This window comes from Homo sapiens, chromosome 3 (assembly GCF_000001405.40).
Source record: "Homo sapiens chromosome 3, GRCh38.p14 Primary Assembly".
NCBI classification, from domain to species: domain Eukaryota; kingdom Metazoa; phylum Chordata; class Mammalia; order Primates; family Hominidae; genus Homo; species Homo sapiens.
Window position 1 is genome coordinate 174,911,692 of NC_000003.12, and position 19,964 is coordinate 174,931,655.

At 35.4% G+C, this 19,964-nt stretch overlaps 1 protein-coding gene across 21 annotated transcripts in view; it reads left to right on the top strand.

Moving 5' to 3' along the window:
• The window catches only part of NAALADL2 (N-acetylated alpha-linked acidic dipeptidase like 2), a 1,369,567-nt gene that overhangs the window by 470,710 nt on the left and 878,893 nt on the right, over positions 1-19,964 (top strand). The window lies entirely within an intron of this gene.

Consider the following 19,964-nt stretch of genomic DNA (forward strand, 5'->3'; position numbering starts at 1 on the left):
GAAAGGAGCCCTAGTACACCTTATATTCCTGTCTGTTTCCCTTGTTCCTGAGTTCCTTTTTTAAACTGGTAATATCTCAGACATTGCTGAAGTCACATGCCAACATCTGACAAGTGCCCTTTACGATGTAGCCTCAAGTATGTAAGCGGCAAGAACCACAGCCTTTAGAGCGATTTTGGAATTAAGTTGTTAAAATGTGTTTTTAACTTAGTACTTACTGAAATATCCATTCTCCCGCAGACAGACTTATAGCTGTCTTCCACTAGGGCTGGAAATTGACCTTTTAACCACTGACAGTTGACAGGATGTTTATTTTCCCATTATAACAGTTGCCAATTGTCCACCAATTTCTCTTCTCACAGAAATAAAGAAGGTCGGCTGTGATGAACTATACTCTCTGTAGCCTCTCTCTGACAATTTCTTTATACCTATATTTGATATTGGTAGTTCTCTCATTTTCCATAAAAGAAAAAAAGAAATGAAGACAATCAGTGCAGAATGCTGTCATTGGGGGTGGGGCAGCAACAAGATATAGGTGTTTGCATGCTGTTCTCAACCTGACTACTAAAGTCATCACCTAAGGAAGATGGAATGTCAACATGGATCCATGTTTTAAATTTTTTTTTTTCTTTGAAAAAGCTCTGCAACTTCAGCATAAAGTGTAACCTTGCAGTTGCTGAGGTAACTGTTTTTCTCCCCCTCCTTAGGAATAGCAGAACAAATTAGGGGAAGAAAACGTTTGTAAATCGTCAGTACATGGACACCCTAAGGCTGCAATAGCTAAATGTTTCATTGGAATCCTAGGTAACCAAAATGTGGTCAGCTAAAAGGTGTTTCTGTTTTCAATCTGATTTGTTTCTTGAGCAATTTAACGTACATGGATAAAGTCATATTTACCCCTCCTTTTCTAGCTTTCGCAGCCTTTTTCCCCTGATTAATTTATGCAACTTAATGGCTTTCAATGTTCCTAAGAATGAAGCACAGGATGGAAAATTTCTAGATAGAATAAAATAAGACAAGGTTAATTGTTGGCAATGGTCTGTTTCATGATCAGCACAAATTTAGAATTATATATTGATATTTTCCTGTTGCTATAATTCCCTGGGGCTTCCCTGTATTGTGGCATCATTAATCTCTCATCATTTTGCTGGCAGGATTATTTATGAAAATATTTGGAATTAGATACTAATGATTTGAACATGATAAACTAGTCATTATGTTTGCTTTCAAAGTGCCCTAATGTATTTCTACATTAAAAGACATTGATGATATCTATATTTCATGGTTTCTAAAATACACATATTTCCACATTTTAATATCCCTGAAATAAAGATGAATCTTCCAAGTGACAGTACCTCAAAATTGCCTTTGGGCATATTTTCACATTTTAAAGTGTCCTGCAATACATATTACAATTAATGACAGACTGGATAAAATATAGTATTATGACTTATTGGTATGAAAAAAGTTTTGGTAGAACTTTCCCTATAAATTATTTTCGACTTGTCTTACCAACTAGTAAGACAAGTTTGAAGGGTTTACATAATTGCTAAACCCTTCTTTAATGAAAACATGTCTCAGCTGTCATGGCAGTGTTGTCACCTGCAAGTATTCTAGTGGCTTATTTAGGTGTCACAGGTTCATCCCTCACTATTTTCCTTTGCAAACAGGGCTTCAAGACAGATGGTTCACTCTGACTACACTGTGAAGGAAAAACCGTGTTTACTGTTAATTTGTCTTTTGTTGCTGCTGCCTCAGTCTTGTGCCTGAGTGTCTGATTAATGAGTAACATGCATTCACAAGATACCTGGACTACTATAGAGGCTCTAGGTTGTGGCAGTGGGCTTTGGGGGCAGTTGCCTCCACCTCAGGCTACTCATTAGTGGTGTCACCAGGCAAATCAGTTTACAGCTCTCAAACTTGCAATCTCCTCTGGAAAAAAAGGGATAAATAATTATTTTACCGATTTGGTTATTGCTGGCAAATTAAACCAAATGAAGTACTATATTGCGCTGTAATGGGCACTCAATAAATATTTTATCCTTTCTGTTCTTTCTCTATATCTGCTGATCAAGTTAATTTTTTGGTACCAAATTAATGAAAAATCATTTTGTGTATTGAAAATTTTAAATTATCATTACTATTCTTAATATGTCCCAATACAATAAAAATATAATTAGAAAATGTTAGTCTTATCTAATGGGGTGGTTTGAAGAACTGAAGGAGTTGATTTATGAGTCCCAGCCTAAGAAAAACAAAATTCTAGAATTAGTTTTAAATATAATTTTATAATCTCTATAAGCAGGAGATTATGTATTTCATTTCCAAGGTACACCTTTTTGGTTTTATATATATATATTCCTTTTCTTTTCTTTTTTTTTTTTAATTAGAGACGGAGTCTCACTCTGTTACCCAGGCTGGAGTGTGGTGGTGTGATCTCGGCTCACTGCAACCTCTGCCTCCAGTGTTCAAGTGATTCTCCTGCCTCAGCCTCCCGAGTAGTTGGGATTACAGGCACCCACCACCACATCAGGCTAATTTTTGTATTTTTAGTGGAGAGAGGGTTTCACCATGTTGGCCAGGCTGGTCTCAAACTTTTGACCTCTGGTGATCCACCCACCTCTGCCTCCCAAAGTGCTAGGATTACAGGTGTGAGCCACCATGCCCGGCCTGGCTTTATATTTTATTGCAACTAAAAATCACATTAGATAATGAATATTTAGTATCATATGGGGTACAGAGGGTATGGACTTGGGAAGTCGATAGATCTGAATCTGTAAGTTTGAATTTCTCTAGTTTTAGACTTTGAGTAAATTACTTATTTGAGCCCCATTTTCCTATAAGTAAAGTTAGACTAATGCTATTGTCATGGTAAGAATAAAAGGCAATAATGGATATCAAATATCAGACATAATCTATCAGTTAGAACAGGTAGTAAATAAATGTACATTTTCTCAATAATCACAGACATTTATTTAGAAAGGAAAATTTTCAAATATAGATATAATTCATTATAATAAACCTCAAAAGACATTGTAATGCAATTTTATTAAAGATTAATTTATTGGAAGATCAATATCTGCAGTCAGAAAGGAGTTTGGAGACAAAACAAATTTGATGACCAGAGTCTTTGTAGCTGAGTGTCAGGGGTTTCAAACTCAATAAGGGAGGAAAGGTAAAATATCAGGTACATCTAATACAATCTTAGAATTATCTTTTCATTTTTGGATGCTTTAGTGTACAAGTTTTGATGAAAAGGCTGGGATTTCACAGATTTTTATTTTACTTGATAGACTTAAATTTAAAAAGTTATACTACAGTTTAATTCTACAAAGTCTCTATTCTGGACAGGTTCTAAGAGTTCTAGAAAATAATACAATGTTGGAAAACTAGTATCTAATTGCCCACTAATTATTACAACAGAAAGATTTTTAAACACAAATGGTTTAATTGTAAAGCTTAGAAAACATTTTTCATGGTCAATTGGATAGATTATTTCATATGAGTGTGGGTGGGGAGGTGCATTTTGAGGGATGGCAGCAGAGGAGGTGTCATATTGTCTTCTGTGTTATCTCAGTGATAAAGCTCATTTTGACAGTGTTTGAGATTACCCATGTTAAATCATCATGGCTTAGTGGTTAAGATCTAGGCTTTGTAATTAGACATACTGAAGTTGCTGTCTCCTCCCTGTCAATGAACAGAGTTTGACAATGGAACATTAGATATCTTTCTAGACCCAGCTTTCCCAACTTTATGGTAAGGACAACTTCATAGAACTATTATCAGTGGTAGAGACAGGTTTTGAGCCCATGTTCTCTGGTTCTAAGACTCATTCTATTGATGGATATGTTAGAGGTTCAAGGTGTATTTTGTTTAAAAATGTTATATTCAGATTTATTTATTATATTTATTAGAGAAATTGAGAGGAAAACAAAATAAGTCAGTTATTTACATTTAAAAATTGAATTTTATCATATGATACTTTAATAATTTTAGGAAAAAAAGCGTAAGCTAATTTTCACCCAATCAATCTTACAGCCTTGTGGTTAAATTGTATATTAAATACTATTCATTATATTTCATTTGAAAAAGTGCAGGAAAACTCTTCTGGACATTGGCTTAGGTAAATAATTCATGGCTAAGACTACAAAAGCAAATGCAACAAAAACAAAATTAGATAAATGGGACCTAACCAAACTAAAAAGCTTCTGCACAGCAAAAGAAATAATCAGCAGAGTAAACAGGCAACCCACGTGTTGGAAGGAAATATTCACAAACTATGCATCTGATAAAAGACTAGTGTCCAGAATCTACAAGGGACTGAAACAAATCAGCAAGAAAGTAATCCCATGAAAAATATGGGCAAAGGACATGAATATACCTTTCTTAAAAGAAGGTATACAAACAGCCAACAAACATAAAAAAATGCTCAACATCGCTAATCATGGAAATACAAATTAAAACCATGATGAGATACCACCTTACTCCTGCAAGAACGGCCATAATTAAAAAGTCAAAAACAACAGATGTTGGTGTGGATGTGGTGAAAAGGGAACACATTAATACTGTGGTGGGAATGTAAATTAGTACAACCACTGTGGAAAACAGTATGGAAATTCCTTAATAGGAACTAAAAGTAGAACTACCATTCAGTCCAGTAATCTCACTCCTGGGTATCTACCCAAAGGAAAATAAGTCACTATATGAAAAAGACACATGCACACACATGTTTATAGCAGCACAATTCACAATTGCAAAGATAGGGAACCAATCTAAATGCTCATTGACCAATGAGTGGATATGGAAAATGTAGCATATATACACCATGGAATACTATCAAACATCAAAAGAAATGAAATAATGTCTTTTTCAGCAACTTGGATGGAGCTAGAGGCCATTATTCTAAGTGAAGTAACCCAGGAATGGAAAACCAAATATTATATGTCCTCACATATAAGTGGGAGCTAAGCTATGAGGACACAGAGGCATAAGAGTGATATAATGGACTTTGGGGACTTGATGAGGAGACTGGGAAAAGGGTGGGGGATAAAAGACTACACACTGTGTATAGTGTATACTGCTCAAGTGATGGGTGTACTAAAATCTCTGAAATCACCACTAAAAAACTTATCCATGTAACCAGAAACTACTTGTACCCCAAAAACTATTGAAATAAAAAATTAAATTACTTAAAAAAGAGATTTAAAGTGCAAAATATTTTCAGAGTGATTAATATATAGCATCTAGTGTCATTATCTCTACTAGATTTCATACATTATGTTTTTAGCACTATTTCTGCCTGTTCATCATCCTTGGTACACCTGGTGGTAAAGCGTTTCAGACTGTAATTCTCATTGGAAACTTTATTTGTTAGATGCTGAGAGCTCTTTTAAAATTAAGAATTTGATTTAACTTTGTTTCAGCAATTCCGATTTTAAAGTGTAAATTAATAACAGTCTATAGTAGGAGCAAAGAAGATTTGTAAACACAAATGGTTTAACTGAATTTTCCCATAGTCAATTGAAAAAAAAGTTACTACAATGATCCTTCATTTCCAATTCTTAACTGATCATGAATTTGTTCAAGAACCTGTTGATGAAACAATTCAAAGACAGCACATTTGCATTGTGATTACTGTGCTTAAAATGCATTATACATTTTATGGCAAAAATGTACATTCAGAATGCTTGGTCACGACTTTAATTGAATGACATTGAACAAAGACCTGAAACTGAGTATAAATGTAGTGTAACTTTAGCTTTTATTTTGTTTATGATATTCCTTAATTGTAGTAACATGTGGTCCAGAAAATATCCTCTGGATTTCATTTCAGAATCTGCTGAATACTATTATTTACTTGAATACCTGTAGCACAAAAGAACCTTGGTTAGAGACACACTATTATCTTGCCCATTTCAAGTTGTTTATTAATTACCTGGAAAGTCTTTTCTAGGTCAAATGAGATGAATTATTTGAAACCTTTATGGTTTAGTTAAAATTGAATTTTAGTCTCACTTTCATTTGTTTTAGATCTATTTGTTATTTTTTTTTTTGTCTTTTTTGAGCCACCAATTTTAGGGAATTAAAAAGAGAGAAAATCATTAACTTCAACCTGGCCCCACAGATATTTGTGCATGTCAGACTGTTGAAATAAAGATCATTTTCATCACAATTTTCTAATTTTCGTCATAATTTTCTAAGCTTGACTGATAATTTACTTTGTATATTTTAAAACTGAAAATAGTGTTAAAGATTTTCAAGAATGTTTGTAGAAGTGTATTATAGTATACGATTCATATTAAATATTTATGATGAAAATAAAATGTTCTTTTTAAAAATATAAGACATGTTTAGAAACATCCACTGCAATACTTAATAATTTTTACTATGTAGCATATTTGATTCCATCTTAGAAAAGTAGTATATGATGAGGATGCTTTTGGGCTGATTATGAAAACATATCAGTACTTATTCAGAATATTCACTTGTAATTGCATCTAATAATTTTATAAGTTGAGTTTAGGGAGGTTATTTAGTATGCCTACAGAAACAAAATAACACACTAGATTTTGGAAAACAGTAGTGCATACTATAAAAAAATATATTTTGGAGTCAGTGTATCAGTGGGATATTAGCCCCTCTGCTTACTCTTGGTGCAAACTTGAAGACTCTAACTTTTTCTGTAAAAAATGGAAAAAAACCGAATCCCTGTATTAGCTATTGTATGAGAAACCACCTCAAAACTCACTGACTTAAAATGGTAAGGATTTATTACTGCTCACTAGCCTGCAGCTCAGCTAAGCTCACTTGTGCATCTGTACTCAGTTTTGTGGATCATCTAGGTGATTGCGCTGATCAAGGATCTGGCGGTTGATTGGCTGAGGTTTACTTTAAGATGGCCTCAGCTGGGACAATTGAGCTCTCTTCCACTGAACAGGTTACCTCAGGGTTGCTCCCATGGCCAAGAAGGGGGGCCCATAAGAGTGAAAAGAAGCACAAAAGTCGTTTCAGAACTAGCACACTAATGATTCTGTTTGTGTCCTTTTGGTCACAGAAGTCACAAAACCAGTCCAGATGCAGGGAGTATGAAATAAACTCTACCACTTGATGAGAGTAACCATGAGTTGCATTGCAAAGTGTTTGGATCAAAGAAAGAATAAAGAATTATGGCCACTTTTATAATACACCACAGACCCTATCTGGCAATTTAATATTGATGTTCAGATCGGGACCACTAGAATAAAGCAAATATTACAATAAAGCAAGTCATGAAATTTTTGGTTTCTCGGTGCATATAAATGTTATGATTACAATCTACTACAGCCTATTAGGGTACAATATCATTGTGTCTAAAATGTACATATTTTAATTTAAAAATATTTTATTGCTAAAAAATCCTAGCAGTATTACAACTTCAGCAAGTTGTAATATTTTTGCAGATGGGGGATCTGGCCTTGGCGTTGATGGCTTCTGACTGATCGTGGTGGTGATTGCTGAAGGTTGGGCTGCTTGTGGCAATTTCTTAAAACAATAAAGATTGCCACATTCATTGACTTCCTTTTACAAAATATTTCTCTGTAAAATGCAATGCTATTGAATAGCATTTTACCCACAGTAGAACGTCTTTCAAAATTGGAGTTAATCTTCTGAAATCTTGCTACTGCTTTATAAATTAAGTTTATGTAATATTCTAAATCTTTTGTTGTCATTTCAGCAATGTTCACTTACTTCACCAGGAGCACATGCCATCTCAAGAAACCACTGTCTTTGCTCATCCATAAATAACAACTTCTCATCCGTTCAAGTATATTCATAAGATTTGAGCAATTCAGTCATCTCTTCAGTCCCCATTTCTAATTTTAGTTTTCTTGCTGCTTCCACCACATCTGAAGTTATCTCCTCCACTGAAGTCCTCAACCTCTCAAACTCATCCATGAGGGTTGGAATCAATTTCTTTCAAACTCCAATTGATGTTGATATTTTAACCTCCTCCCGTAAGTCATGAATATTATTAATGGCGTATAGAATGATAAATTATTTCCAAAAGGTTTTCAATTTACTTCTTCCAGATCTATCAGAGGAATCCCTCTCTGGCAGCTACAGCTTTATGAAATGTGTTCCTTTAATAATAAAACTTGGGAGTCAAAATTACTCCTTGATCCATATGCTGCAGAACTTATGTGTTAGCAGCCATAGAAACAATATTAATCTCCTTGTACACCTCCACTCCACCTCTTGGGGTGACCAGATGCATCGTCAATGAGCAGTGATACATTGAAATAAATAGTTTTTTCTGAGCAATAGGTCTCGACAGTGGGCTTGAAATATTCAGTAGACCATGCTATAAACATGTATGCTATCATTCAGGCCTTGATGTTCCATTTTATAGAGTACATATAGACTCAATTTGCAGTATTCATAAGGGCCCTAGAATTTTTTGAATAGCAAATAAGCTTTGCCTTCAACTTAAAGTGACAAGCTGCATTAGCTCCTAACAGAAGAGTCAGACTGTCTCTTCAAGCCTTGAAGTCAGGCATCGACTCCTCCTCTCTAGCTGTGAAAGTCCTAGATGTCATCTTCTTCCAACATAAGACTGTTTTGTCTCCATTGACAATCTGTTTAGAGTAGCCATCTTCATCAATTATTGTAGGTAGATATTCTGGATAACTTACTGCAGCTTCTACATCAGCATTTGCTGCTTCACCCTGTACTTCTATGTTATAGCGATGGTTTCTTTTGTTAAATCTCATGAGCTAACCTCTACTAGCTTCCAGCTTTTCTTCTGTATCTTCCTCACCTGTCTCAGCCTTCATAGAACCGAAGAGTTTTGAGATCTTGCTCTTAATTAGGATTTGGACTAAGGGAATGCTGTGGCTGCTTTATCCTTCCATTCATACCACTAAAACTTTCTCCATGTCAGCAATACGGTGGTTTTGCTTTGCTATCATTCCTATATTCGACGGAATGGCACTTTTAATTTCTTTTATGAACTTTTTCTTTGCATTCCCATCTTAGCTAACTGGTGCAAGAGGCCTGGGTTTTGGCTTACCTTGACTTTCAACATGCTTTCCTCACTAAGTTTAATCATCTGTAGCTTTTGATTTAAAAGTAAGATATATGTTACTCTTCTTTTCACTTTAACATGTAGAAGCCATGTAATTAATTGTCCTAATTTCAGTATAGTTGTGTGTCTGAGAAGGAGGCCTGAGGAGAGAGAGAGAAACAGAAGAGCGGCTGATTGGTAGAACTCTCAGAACACGGTCAGCATTTGTCTATTAAGTTTGCCATCTCACATGGTCATGGTCCATGGTGTCCCAAATAATTACAATAGTAACATCAAAGATCACTGATTACAGATCACAATAACAGATATAATAATAATGAAGAAACTAAAAATATTGTGAGAATTACCAAAATGTGAAACAGAGTTATGAAATGAGCACATGCTATTGGAAAAAAATGGCACTGATAGAATTGCTTGATGCGAGGTTTCTACAAAACTTCAATTTCTAAAAAACACAATGTGTTTTGCAAAATGCAAAAAGTGAAGTTCAATAAAATGAGGTATGCTTGTATATCTAGACAATATTTTGCTGAAAATATGTGCTCAATAAAGTTACTTAATAGAAATTTACAACTAAATCACTTAAATACAATTTTTTTGTTATTTTTTATTTTACGTGGCCTTTATATGATTATGTAATCTTTTGCAAATTCTACTTCTAAAAGCATTTAAAGTAACCAGACAAGTATAAAAATATTCAAATGTGACAGAAATTTATTATAAGAATTAATGTAAAATATTTCACTTAGAAAATAACTTCTAAGGGCCTGGCGCGGTGGCTCACACCTGTAATCCCAGCACTTTGGCAGGCCGAGGCAGGCGGATCACCAAGTCAGGAGATCGAGACCATCCTGGCTAACATGGTGAAACCCCATTGCTACTAAAAATACAAAAACAGAATTAGCTGGGCGTGGTGGCGGGTGGCTGTAGTCCCAGCTACTTGAGAGGCTGAGGCAGGAGAATGGCTTGAATCTGGGAGGCAGAGCTTGCAGTAAGCCGAGATTGTGCCGTTGCACTCTGGCCTGGGCAACAGAGCAAGACTCCGTCTCAAAAAAAAAAAAAAAAAGAAAAAGAAAAAGAAAAGAAAAAAATCTTCTTAGTATTTTAAAGGTGCAAAATCCATTTGGCAGGAAAATACTTTTACCCAGAATGTTTGCACATAGATTGGAGCTCTCAGTTGTGCCATTTATTTATTAGTACCTGTTCTTTTGTTTTGTCATGAAAAAAACATATGTATGAGACAAAGTATAAGGTTTTATGTTATTAATAATATAAACTATTTTGGCTCATGCCTTAATCCCAGCAGTTTGGAGGCCAAGGCAGGAGGATTGCTTAAGTCCAGGTGTTTGAGACCAGGTTGGCCAAAAGAATGAAACCCCATCTTTACAAAAAATAAAATAAAAAATTAGTCTGGCATGATGTTGTACACCTGTAGTCCTACGTTCTTGGGAGTCTGAGGTGAGAGGATTACTTGAACCCAGAAGTTCAAGGGGGTATTGAGCTGTGATCATGCCACTGCACTCTAGCCTGGGTGACAGAGTGAGACCTTATCTTAAAAAAAAAAAAAAAAAAATTGTCTATGATTTTTTTAAAAGCTTTTTATTTTGAACTAATTTTAGACTTGCTTAAAAGTTGCAAAAATAAGACACAAGTTTCATATATCACTCAATCTGCTTCCTGTAATATTAACAACATAAATAGCCACAGGGAAATCTTCAAGACCTGGAAATTAACTGTAGGACAGCACTATTACCTAAACCACAGCTCTAATTTGAATTTCATCAGTTTTTCTCCTAATGCTGATTTTCTGTTCCAGGATCCTATCCAGGAGCCCACATTGCCTTTAGATATTATTTCTCTTTCATCTCTCCAGTTTGTAAAACTTGCTCAGTCTTTCCTTGTCTGTAAGGAATTTGACACTTTTGAAGAGTACAGATCAGTTATTTTGTAGAAAACCCCTCAATTTGGGTTTGTTGAATTTTTCTCACTATTGAAATGAAATGGTGTATTTTTCCACAACAACACTACTAAAATGATGCTTTGTGGTTAGTCCATTATATGAATATGATATCAAGACATATTAGTATTTCTTATTGCTGATGTTATTATCAAGACTTATCAGTATGTCTTTTTGCTGGTGGTATTAACCTGATCACTTGGTGAAGCAGAAGTCTTCAACGATTCTCCATTTTAAAGTTCTTATCTTTCCCTTGTTCATTAGAAAGTATCTTTGGGGAGATACTTTGAGATTATGCAAACCTGAAGTTGGAGTTTCTAAATGTCATTCTACAAAAAAAGGAACAAGGCAAGGACTCCTTGGGAAAGTGGTTGATTCCAGAAGGGACAGGGTAAATACAAGATGAGCCTGAAATGTCTTGTGGTAATAGAATTTAAGGAAGTATCAGAAAAAGATGGGGGCTTATGGAAAAAACACAGAAACCAATAGCCAATTTTTCATCTTAAGCTCATGAAATTATAAAGTGTAGTTAGTAGCTCCTGAGGGCTGAAGTTGAAATAACTAGAACAACAAAATAAATGATCATTACAGATTTTAACCCATAGAATTAAGTACATATCCATGAGTACATAGTGCAATAAATAAGAAACCAATAATATTATTTAATCAATAACTAAATATTATTCAATATGGAGAAGGGACAGTATTCTTATACAGTAGAATTCCAATTAATAAAAGTAGAAGAAAAGAGAGAAATAGAAAAATTATTATTAGGCAAACAAAATAGTAATGAATTTTATCCACTGATGGATTTTTAAATTAGTGAGCAAAAGTTTGAGGAGAAGCAGGATTTGCATAGTATCTTTGATTTTTTAGAACAAGTAAAATAATTTTCTAAAACATTTCACTGTTTTATTCTTCATGTAGTTTTCTTACCACACATCTAGATGCCACCATTTTTCAATATCCTGTTCTCAGGTAAAGAGAGAACATTATTTAAAGTGGTGTTTCTATTTTTCCTTTATTGTAGTCTGGATAGGTATAGAGGAATAGAAAAAAATTCAAATACCTTGGTACTTTTGACAGTATCTTCTGAGGTTTTGCTGGTATGGCACTGTAGAGGTAGAATACAGAACCTCAATTTGTGATATTTTTTGGGTAGTTCATCAGTTCAAAAAACCATGCCTTGTCCCCTGGCAGAGTCATTATTAAAAGAACACATGCTGTAATGGCATTCATAAATCTCAGCAGCTGTTCATGGAATTGAGGCATAGGACTGACTAGGTTTTTAAAAGAAGGAGAAAAACACATAATGGTATCTTACTTGTTCAGGAATGTTATATGCTGTTACATGCTTTTCTTTTTTTATTTTAAGTTCTAGGGTACATGTACACAACATGCAAGTTTATTACATATGTATACGTGTACCATGTTGGTGTGCTGCACCCATTAACTCGTCATTTACATTAGGTATGTCTCCTAATGCTATCCCTCCCCCCTCCCCCCACCCCACAACAGGCCCCGGTGCGTGATGTCCCCCTTCCTGTGTCCAACTGTTCTCATTGTTCAATTCCCACCTATGAGTGAGAACATGTGGTGTTTGGTTTTTTGTCCCTGTGATAGTTTGCTGAGAATGATGGTTTCCAGCTTCATACATGTCCCTACAAAGGACACGAACTCATCCTTTTTTATGGCTGCATAGTATTCCATGGTGTATATGTGCCACATTTTCTTAATCCAGTCTATCATTGACGGACATTTGGGTTGGTTCCAAGTCTTTGCTATTGTGAATAGTGCCGCAATAAACATACATGTGCATGTGTCTTTATAGCAGTATGATTTATAATCCTTTGGGTATATACCCAGTTGTGGGATGACTGGGTCAAATGGTATTTCCAGTTCTAGATCCTTGAGGAATCGCCACACTGTCTTCCACAATGGTTGAACCAGTTTACAGTCCCACCAACATTGTAGAAGTGTTCCTATTTGTCCACATCCTCTCCAGCACCTGTTGTTTCCTGACTTTGTAATGATCACCATTCTAATTGGTGTGAGATGGTATCTCATTGTGGTTTTGCTTTGCATTTCTCTGATGGCCAGTGATGATGAGCATTTTTTCAAGAGTCTGTTGGTCTGTTGGCTGCACAAATGCCTTCTTTTGAGAAGTGTCTGTTCATATCCTTTGCCCAGTTTTTGATGGGGTTGTTTGTTTTTTTCTTGTAAATTTGTTTAAGTTCTTTGTAGATTCTGGATATTAGCCCTTTGTCAGATGAGTAGATTGCAAAAATTTTCTCCCATTCTGTAGGTTGCCTGCTCACTCTGATGGTAGTTTCTTTTGCTGTGTGTAAGCTCTTTCGTTTAATTAGATCCCATTTGTCAATTTTGGCTTTTGTTGCCATTGCTCTTGGTGTTTTAGACATGAAGTCCTTGCCCATGCCTATGTTATGAATGGTGTTGCCTAGGTTTTCTTCTAGGGTTTTTATGGTTTTAGGTCTAACATTTAAATCTTTAATCCATCTTGAATTAATTTTTGTATAAGGTGTAAGGAAGGGATCCAGTTTCAGCTTTCTACATATGGCTAGCCAGTTTTCCCAGCACCATTTATTAAAAAGGGAATCCTTTCCCCATTTCTTGTTTTTGTCAGGTTTTTCAAAGATCAGATGGTTGTAGATGTGTGGTATTATTTCTGAGGGCTCTGTTCTGTTCTACTGGTCTATATCTCTGTTTTGGTACCAGTACCATGCTGTTTTGGTTACTGTAGCCTTGTAGTATAGTTTGAAGTCAGGTAGTGTGATGCCTCCAGCTTTGTTCTTTCGGCTTAGAATTGTTTTGGCTATGCGGGCTCTTTTTTGGTTCCATATGAACTTTAAAGTAGTTTTTTCCAATTCTGTGAAGAAAGTCATTGGTAGCTTGATGGGGATGGCAGCATTGAATCTATAAATTACCTTGGGCAGTATGGCCATTTTCATGATACTGATTCTTCCTATCCATGAACATGGAATGTTCTTCCATTTGTTTGTGTCGTCTTTTATTTCATTGAGCTGTGGTTTGTAGTTCTCCTTGAAGAGGTCCTTCACATCTCTTGTAAGTTGGATTCCTAGGTATTTTATTCTCTTTGCCAGCAACAGAACAAAGCTGGATGGAGAATGACTTTGACGAGTTGAGAGAAGAAGTCTTCAGATGATCAAACTACTCTGAGCTAAAGAAGAAAGTTCGAACCAATCACAAAGAAGCTAAAAACCTTGAAAAAAGATTAGACAAATGGCTAACTAGAATAACCAGTGTAGAGAAGTCCTTAAATGACTTGATAGAGCTGAAAACCATGGCACGAGAACTATGTGAGGAATGCACAAGCTTCGGTAGCCGATTCAATCAAGTGGAAGAAAGGGTATCAGTGTTTGAAGATCAAATGAATGAAATGAAGCGAGAAGAGAAGTTTAGAGAAAAAAAGAGTAAAAAGAAATGAACAAAGCCTCCAGGAAATATGGGACTATGTGAAAAGACCAAATCTACATCTGATTGGTGTACCTGAAAGTGACAGGGAGAATGGAACCAAGTTGGAAAACACTGCAGGGTATTATCCAGGAGAACTTCCCCAATCTAGCAAGGCAGGCCAACATTCAGATTCAGGAAATACAGAGAACGCCACAAAGATACTCCTCGAGAAGAGCAACTCCAAGACACATAATTATCAGATTCACCAAAGTTGAAATGAAGGAAAAATGTTAAGGGCAGCCAGAGAGAAAGGTCGGGTTACCCACAAAGAGAAGCCCATCAGACTAACAGTAGATCTCTCGGTAGAAACTCTACAAGCCAGAAGAGAGTGGGGGCCAATATTCAACATTCTTAAAGAAAAGAATTTTCAACCCAGAATTTCATATCCAGCCAAACTAAGCTTCATAAGTGAAGGAGAAATAAAATACTTTACAGACAAGCAAATGCTGAGAGATTTTGTCACCACCAGGCCTGCCCTAAAAGAGCTCCTGAAAGAAGTACTAAACATGGAAAGGAACAACTGGTTCCAGCTCCTGCAAAAACATGATAAATTGTAAAGATCATCGATGCTAGGAAGAAACTGCATCAACTAATGAGCAAAATAACCAGCTAACATCATAATGACAGGATCAAATTCACACATAACAATATGAACCTTAAATGTAAATGGGCTAAATGCTGCAATTAAAAGACACAGACTGGCAAATTGGATAAAGAGTCAAGACTCACCAGTGTGCTGTATTCAGGAGACCCATCTCACATGCAGAGACATACATAGGCTCAAAATAAAGGGATGGAAGAAGATCTACCAAGCAAATGAAGAAAAAAAAAAAAAAGGCAGGGGTTGCAATCCTGGTCTCTGATAAAACAGACTTTAAACCAACAAAAATCAAAAGAGACAGAAGGCCATTACATAATGGTAAAGGGATCAATTCAACAAGAAGAGCTAACTATCGTAATTATATATGCACCCAATACAGGAGCACCCAGATTCATAAAGCAAGTCCTTAGAGACCTACAACGAGACTTAGACTCCCACACAATAATAATGGGAGAATTTAACACCCCACTGTCAACATTAGACAGATCAACGGGACAGAAAGTTAATAAGGATATCCAGAAATTGAACTCAGCTCTGCACCAAGCAGACCTAATAGACATCTACAGAACTCTCCACCTCAAATCAACAGAATATACATTCTTCTCAGCACCACATCACACTTATTCCAAAACTGACCACATAGTTGGAAGTAAAGCACTCCTCAGCAAATGTAAAAGTACAGAAATTATAACAAACTGTCTCTCACATCACAGCACAATCAAACTAGAACTCAGGTTTAAGAAACTTACTCAAAACTACTCAACTACATGGAAACTGAACAACCTGCTCCTGAATGACTACTGGGTACATAACGAAATGAAGGCAGAAATAAAGATGTTCTTTGAAACCAATGAGAACAAAGACACAACATACGAGAATCTCTGGGACACATTTAAAGCAGTGTGTAGAGGGAAATTTATAGCACTAAATGGCCACAAGAGAAAGCAGGAAAGATCTAAAATTGACACCCTAACATCGCAATTGAAAGAACTAGAGAAGCAAGAGCAAACACATTCAAAAGCTAGCAGAAGGCAGGAAATAACTAAGATCAGAGCATAACTAAAGGAGATAGAGACACAAAAAACCCTTCAAAAAATCAATGAATCCAGGAGCTGTTTTTTTGAAGAGATCTACATGCTTTTCATAGTGAGCACACAGGTAGAAATAGTCTAAAAATTAAAGACAGATAACTATAGCCACCTTCTTATTTTTATGTATTTTTCTTTATGTATATTTATAGGAAAAAGTGAATGTAAATGCAAATAAAGAGAAAAAAGTCAGGAAATACAAATTTAAAAACTGAATGACAAAATGTAAGGAACTGATTGATGCTTGAATTCATTCAGTTCACCATGTACATTTAACAATGTGAAAACTATAGCACAGATGTTAGGGATATTGTAAAATTTTGATGTCACCCTTATGTGACATCTGTTATTTATTTATTTATGGAGACAGAATTTTGCTCTTCTCACCCAGGCTGGAATGCAATGCGATCTCGGCTCACTGCAACCTCTGCCTCCAGAGTTCAAGCGATTCTTCTGCCTCATCCTCTCGAGTACCTGGGATTACAGGCACCTACCACTATGCCCAGCTAATTTTTTTGCATTTTTAGTAGAGACGGGATTTCACCATGTTGGCCAGGCTAGTCTCGAACACCTGACCTCTGGATTCACCCGCCTCGGCCTCCCAAAGTGCTGGTATTACAGGCGTGAGCCACCGCGCATTGCCCTTATGTGATATTTGTAACAATGTAATCATAATTAAAGAAATTTGACTTCTTTACAAGTGATATACAACTTTATTTTCAGAATCAGTTATTCGCAACAGAAATTGCCAAGCAAACTGATGATAATTCTCTCACAGCCAATTTTAATATTTAGGTCATCACATTATAAAGTATAGTTAAATTACAGTATTCATAGCTTACTATAAAATTGTAATTATAACAAAAAGGAGGAATAGGTAGTTGTGGGAAAAGTGTGTATTTCATTGGTGAATGCAATAGTTTGGAATAATGCTTAAATCCATATATCATTGTCTTTGGATGGACTTTTATTCATGTTTGACTCATTGATTATTTCACATGTACAGTGGAAAATGAAACTCTTAGAGTCACTTGCCCATATAGAACTTATAATTAAGCTCTATATGGCCAGGTGGAAAGGAAGAAAACTAATAAGAAATAGTTAATTAGATATTTAATTTTGATTTTATAAGCTGTTATATGGGAGATATGCATCTCTTAGGAGATGACATTTGAGCTGAAATTGACTGAAAAAATAAAGGAGCCAGTGATGAGTAGTCAGCGTCACAGCATTCCAAGGAGGGGCACAGTTTATGCCAAAGCACTAAGGCTGGAAAGAGGGCAGTGTATAGGAATACGTGGAGCAGAGGAGAGCGGGGCTCTGTGTTTGTGGTGGGCCACATTAAGGAGTTTAGATTTTATTCTAAGTGTAATGGGAAATCACTGAAGGATTGCAGTGAGGAAAGTGAAATGTCTGATTTTTTTAAAGAATGATTCTCACTGCTGTATCTGAGGAAATAATGATGAATGACACAGCCAGTAAAAGTGCTCTGATGTTTTCTTCTTTTTCCTTATTCTACCTTCCTTATTCTCCTCCTCTAAAAATGGTAGAATTATGCTTATAGAATTGTGATGAAAGAATTGTATGGCCTTAGAATCATCTTTTAGAGCATTATATATATTAATGTATGTAAGTATGTATGTGTACATATACAATACTATAATTATATGCTATGATACATATTATTATGAAAATTTATTTTATTTTTGCTATCTGTTTGATTGAGAAAATAATGTTGTGCACATAGATTTAAGGGTCCCTTTCATAACTGCTTCAGTTTACACCGTTGGACTATGTATAGGAGTGGAATTATTGTCCTTGATCTTACTTTTTTTCTTGTTTTACAAAATACTTTTATACATGAAAATGAGCAGGCCAATCAAAGTTGGACTCTTCTCCCTGTTTGCTTCCTAGTTCTGTAACTTTAGCCAACTTAATTAACATTTCTATAAGATTTCTTAGCCTTTCCTGTAAAATAGTACCTACCTCATAAGATTTTTGTAAAGAATAAATGACATAGTGTATGTAAGGAAGTAAGGATTACCTCTAGCATATAGTATGTACTCAATAATAATGAACTCTTTTAACTTTTATTTCCCCTGTTCTATCTTTACTCCAATCAAAGCCACCTTAGTTTCTCTCTTAGTGTACTTTGTGTAGACCATAGACTTATGAGAAAAGTATGCATGTAGTATCCAGCAAGGACATAATTGAGGGAAGGCTCATGTAAATTTATAATGTAAAAAGAAACTGACTAACATTATCTGTAGTGTTCAATTTAAAAAGTATTAGAATTTGGAAGTTCATGGGCAAGGTCAGTTTGGGCAGTTTTTAAAACCACAGGAAAAATAGATTTAGTGGGTTTATTTTTTATATATATTATTCCCTGTGATTTTTTTAAAAAAATGTTTTTATTTCTGTAATATACACTTAGTTTAGCTTTACTTGCGCTACATGTATGGACTTTAACTAACTTAGAGCTATTTTGAGTAATCCTTTCCACTAAAGGTAGAGTGGTTATTGTTATTTTTATTGTTTATATTACTTGAATATTAATCAAAACTTATTGTTGTGTACCTTAAAGATAGCCTTAAACAAAGCCCTTTAACCCAGGTGGAAAAATAAAAATACAGCATGAATGAATAGCTTTGGAAAAGTATAATGTTATATTATATACCAAAATAACAATTATTTGCAAGTCCTTTAAATAAGATGAACTTTTTTTTTTTTTTTTTTTTTTTTTGAGACAGAGTCTCACTCTGTGACCCAGGCTGGAGTCCAGTGGCGCGATCTCGGCTCACTGCAAGCTCTGCCTCCCAGGTTCTCACCATTCTCCTGCCTCAGCCTCCCAAATAGCTGGGACTACAGGCACCCGCCACCATTCCTGGCTAATTTTTTTGTATTTTTATTAGAGACGGGGTTTCATCGTGTTAGCCGGGATGGTCTCCTTCTTCTGACCTTGTGATCCGCCCACCTCGGCCTCCCAAAGTGCTGGGATTACAGGCATGAGCCACCACGCCCGGCCAAGATGAACATTTTAAATGCTATTTGTATATATCCCATATTATGATTGAACTAAGTAGAATCACTTTTTACCTAATAAAATACCAGACATACTATCAGGTTCTTGATGAGAGGTAGTTCTTTCCTCACACTTTGAAGAGGACATAGGTTTTATACTAATGAACTATATTTCTTCTACTAAACAAGTATTTCGGGGCTGAATCGATCAAAATACATTTATTGACTATAAAGCCATGCCTGTGTACCACCTAAAACCATGTAATGACCAACCAATAATATCAGTTTAGGGGATAATATCAATTTGGTGAAATTATATATTCATGTAAAATAATGTAAAGTACAATAAAGAATAGGGGTTAAGATCATGGGTTCTGGAGCCAGGTACCTGGTTTGGATTTCAGTTTCTGGTTGTGACCACTTGGGAACTATGTGACCCAGAGGAAATCACATAACTGCTCTGTCTCACTTTTCCAAACATAAGATGGGAACGATACTAAAAGTGCCATATCGTAGAATTATTATAAAGATTAAATGAGTTTAATTATGTAAAACACTTCAAATAGTTATTAGTACTATGGTGATGGTCCTTTAGTCTTTACTGTCATTAAACATATTCATTTGGTTTAGTCAAGCAGAGAATATGAAGAATGGTTTATTCTCAGAATTCAGAAGGAAGAAACAAATTATGAGACATCCCTATGGCACTACTAGAATGTTAACTATCTCTTCAAGGGT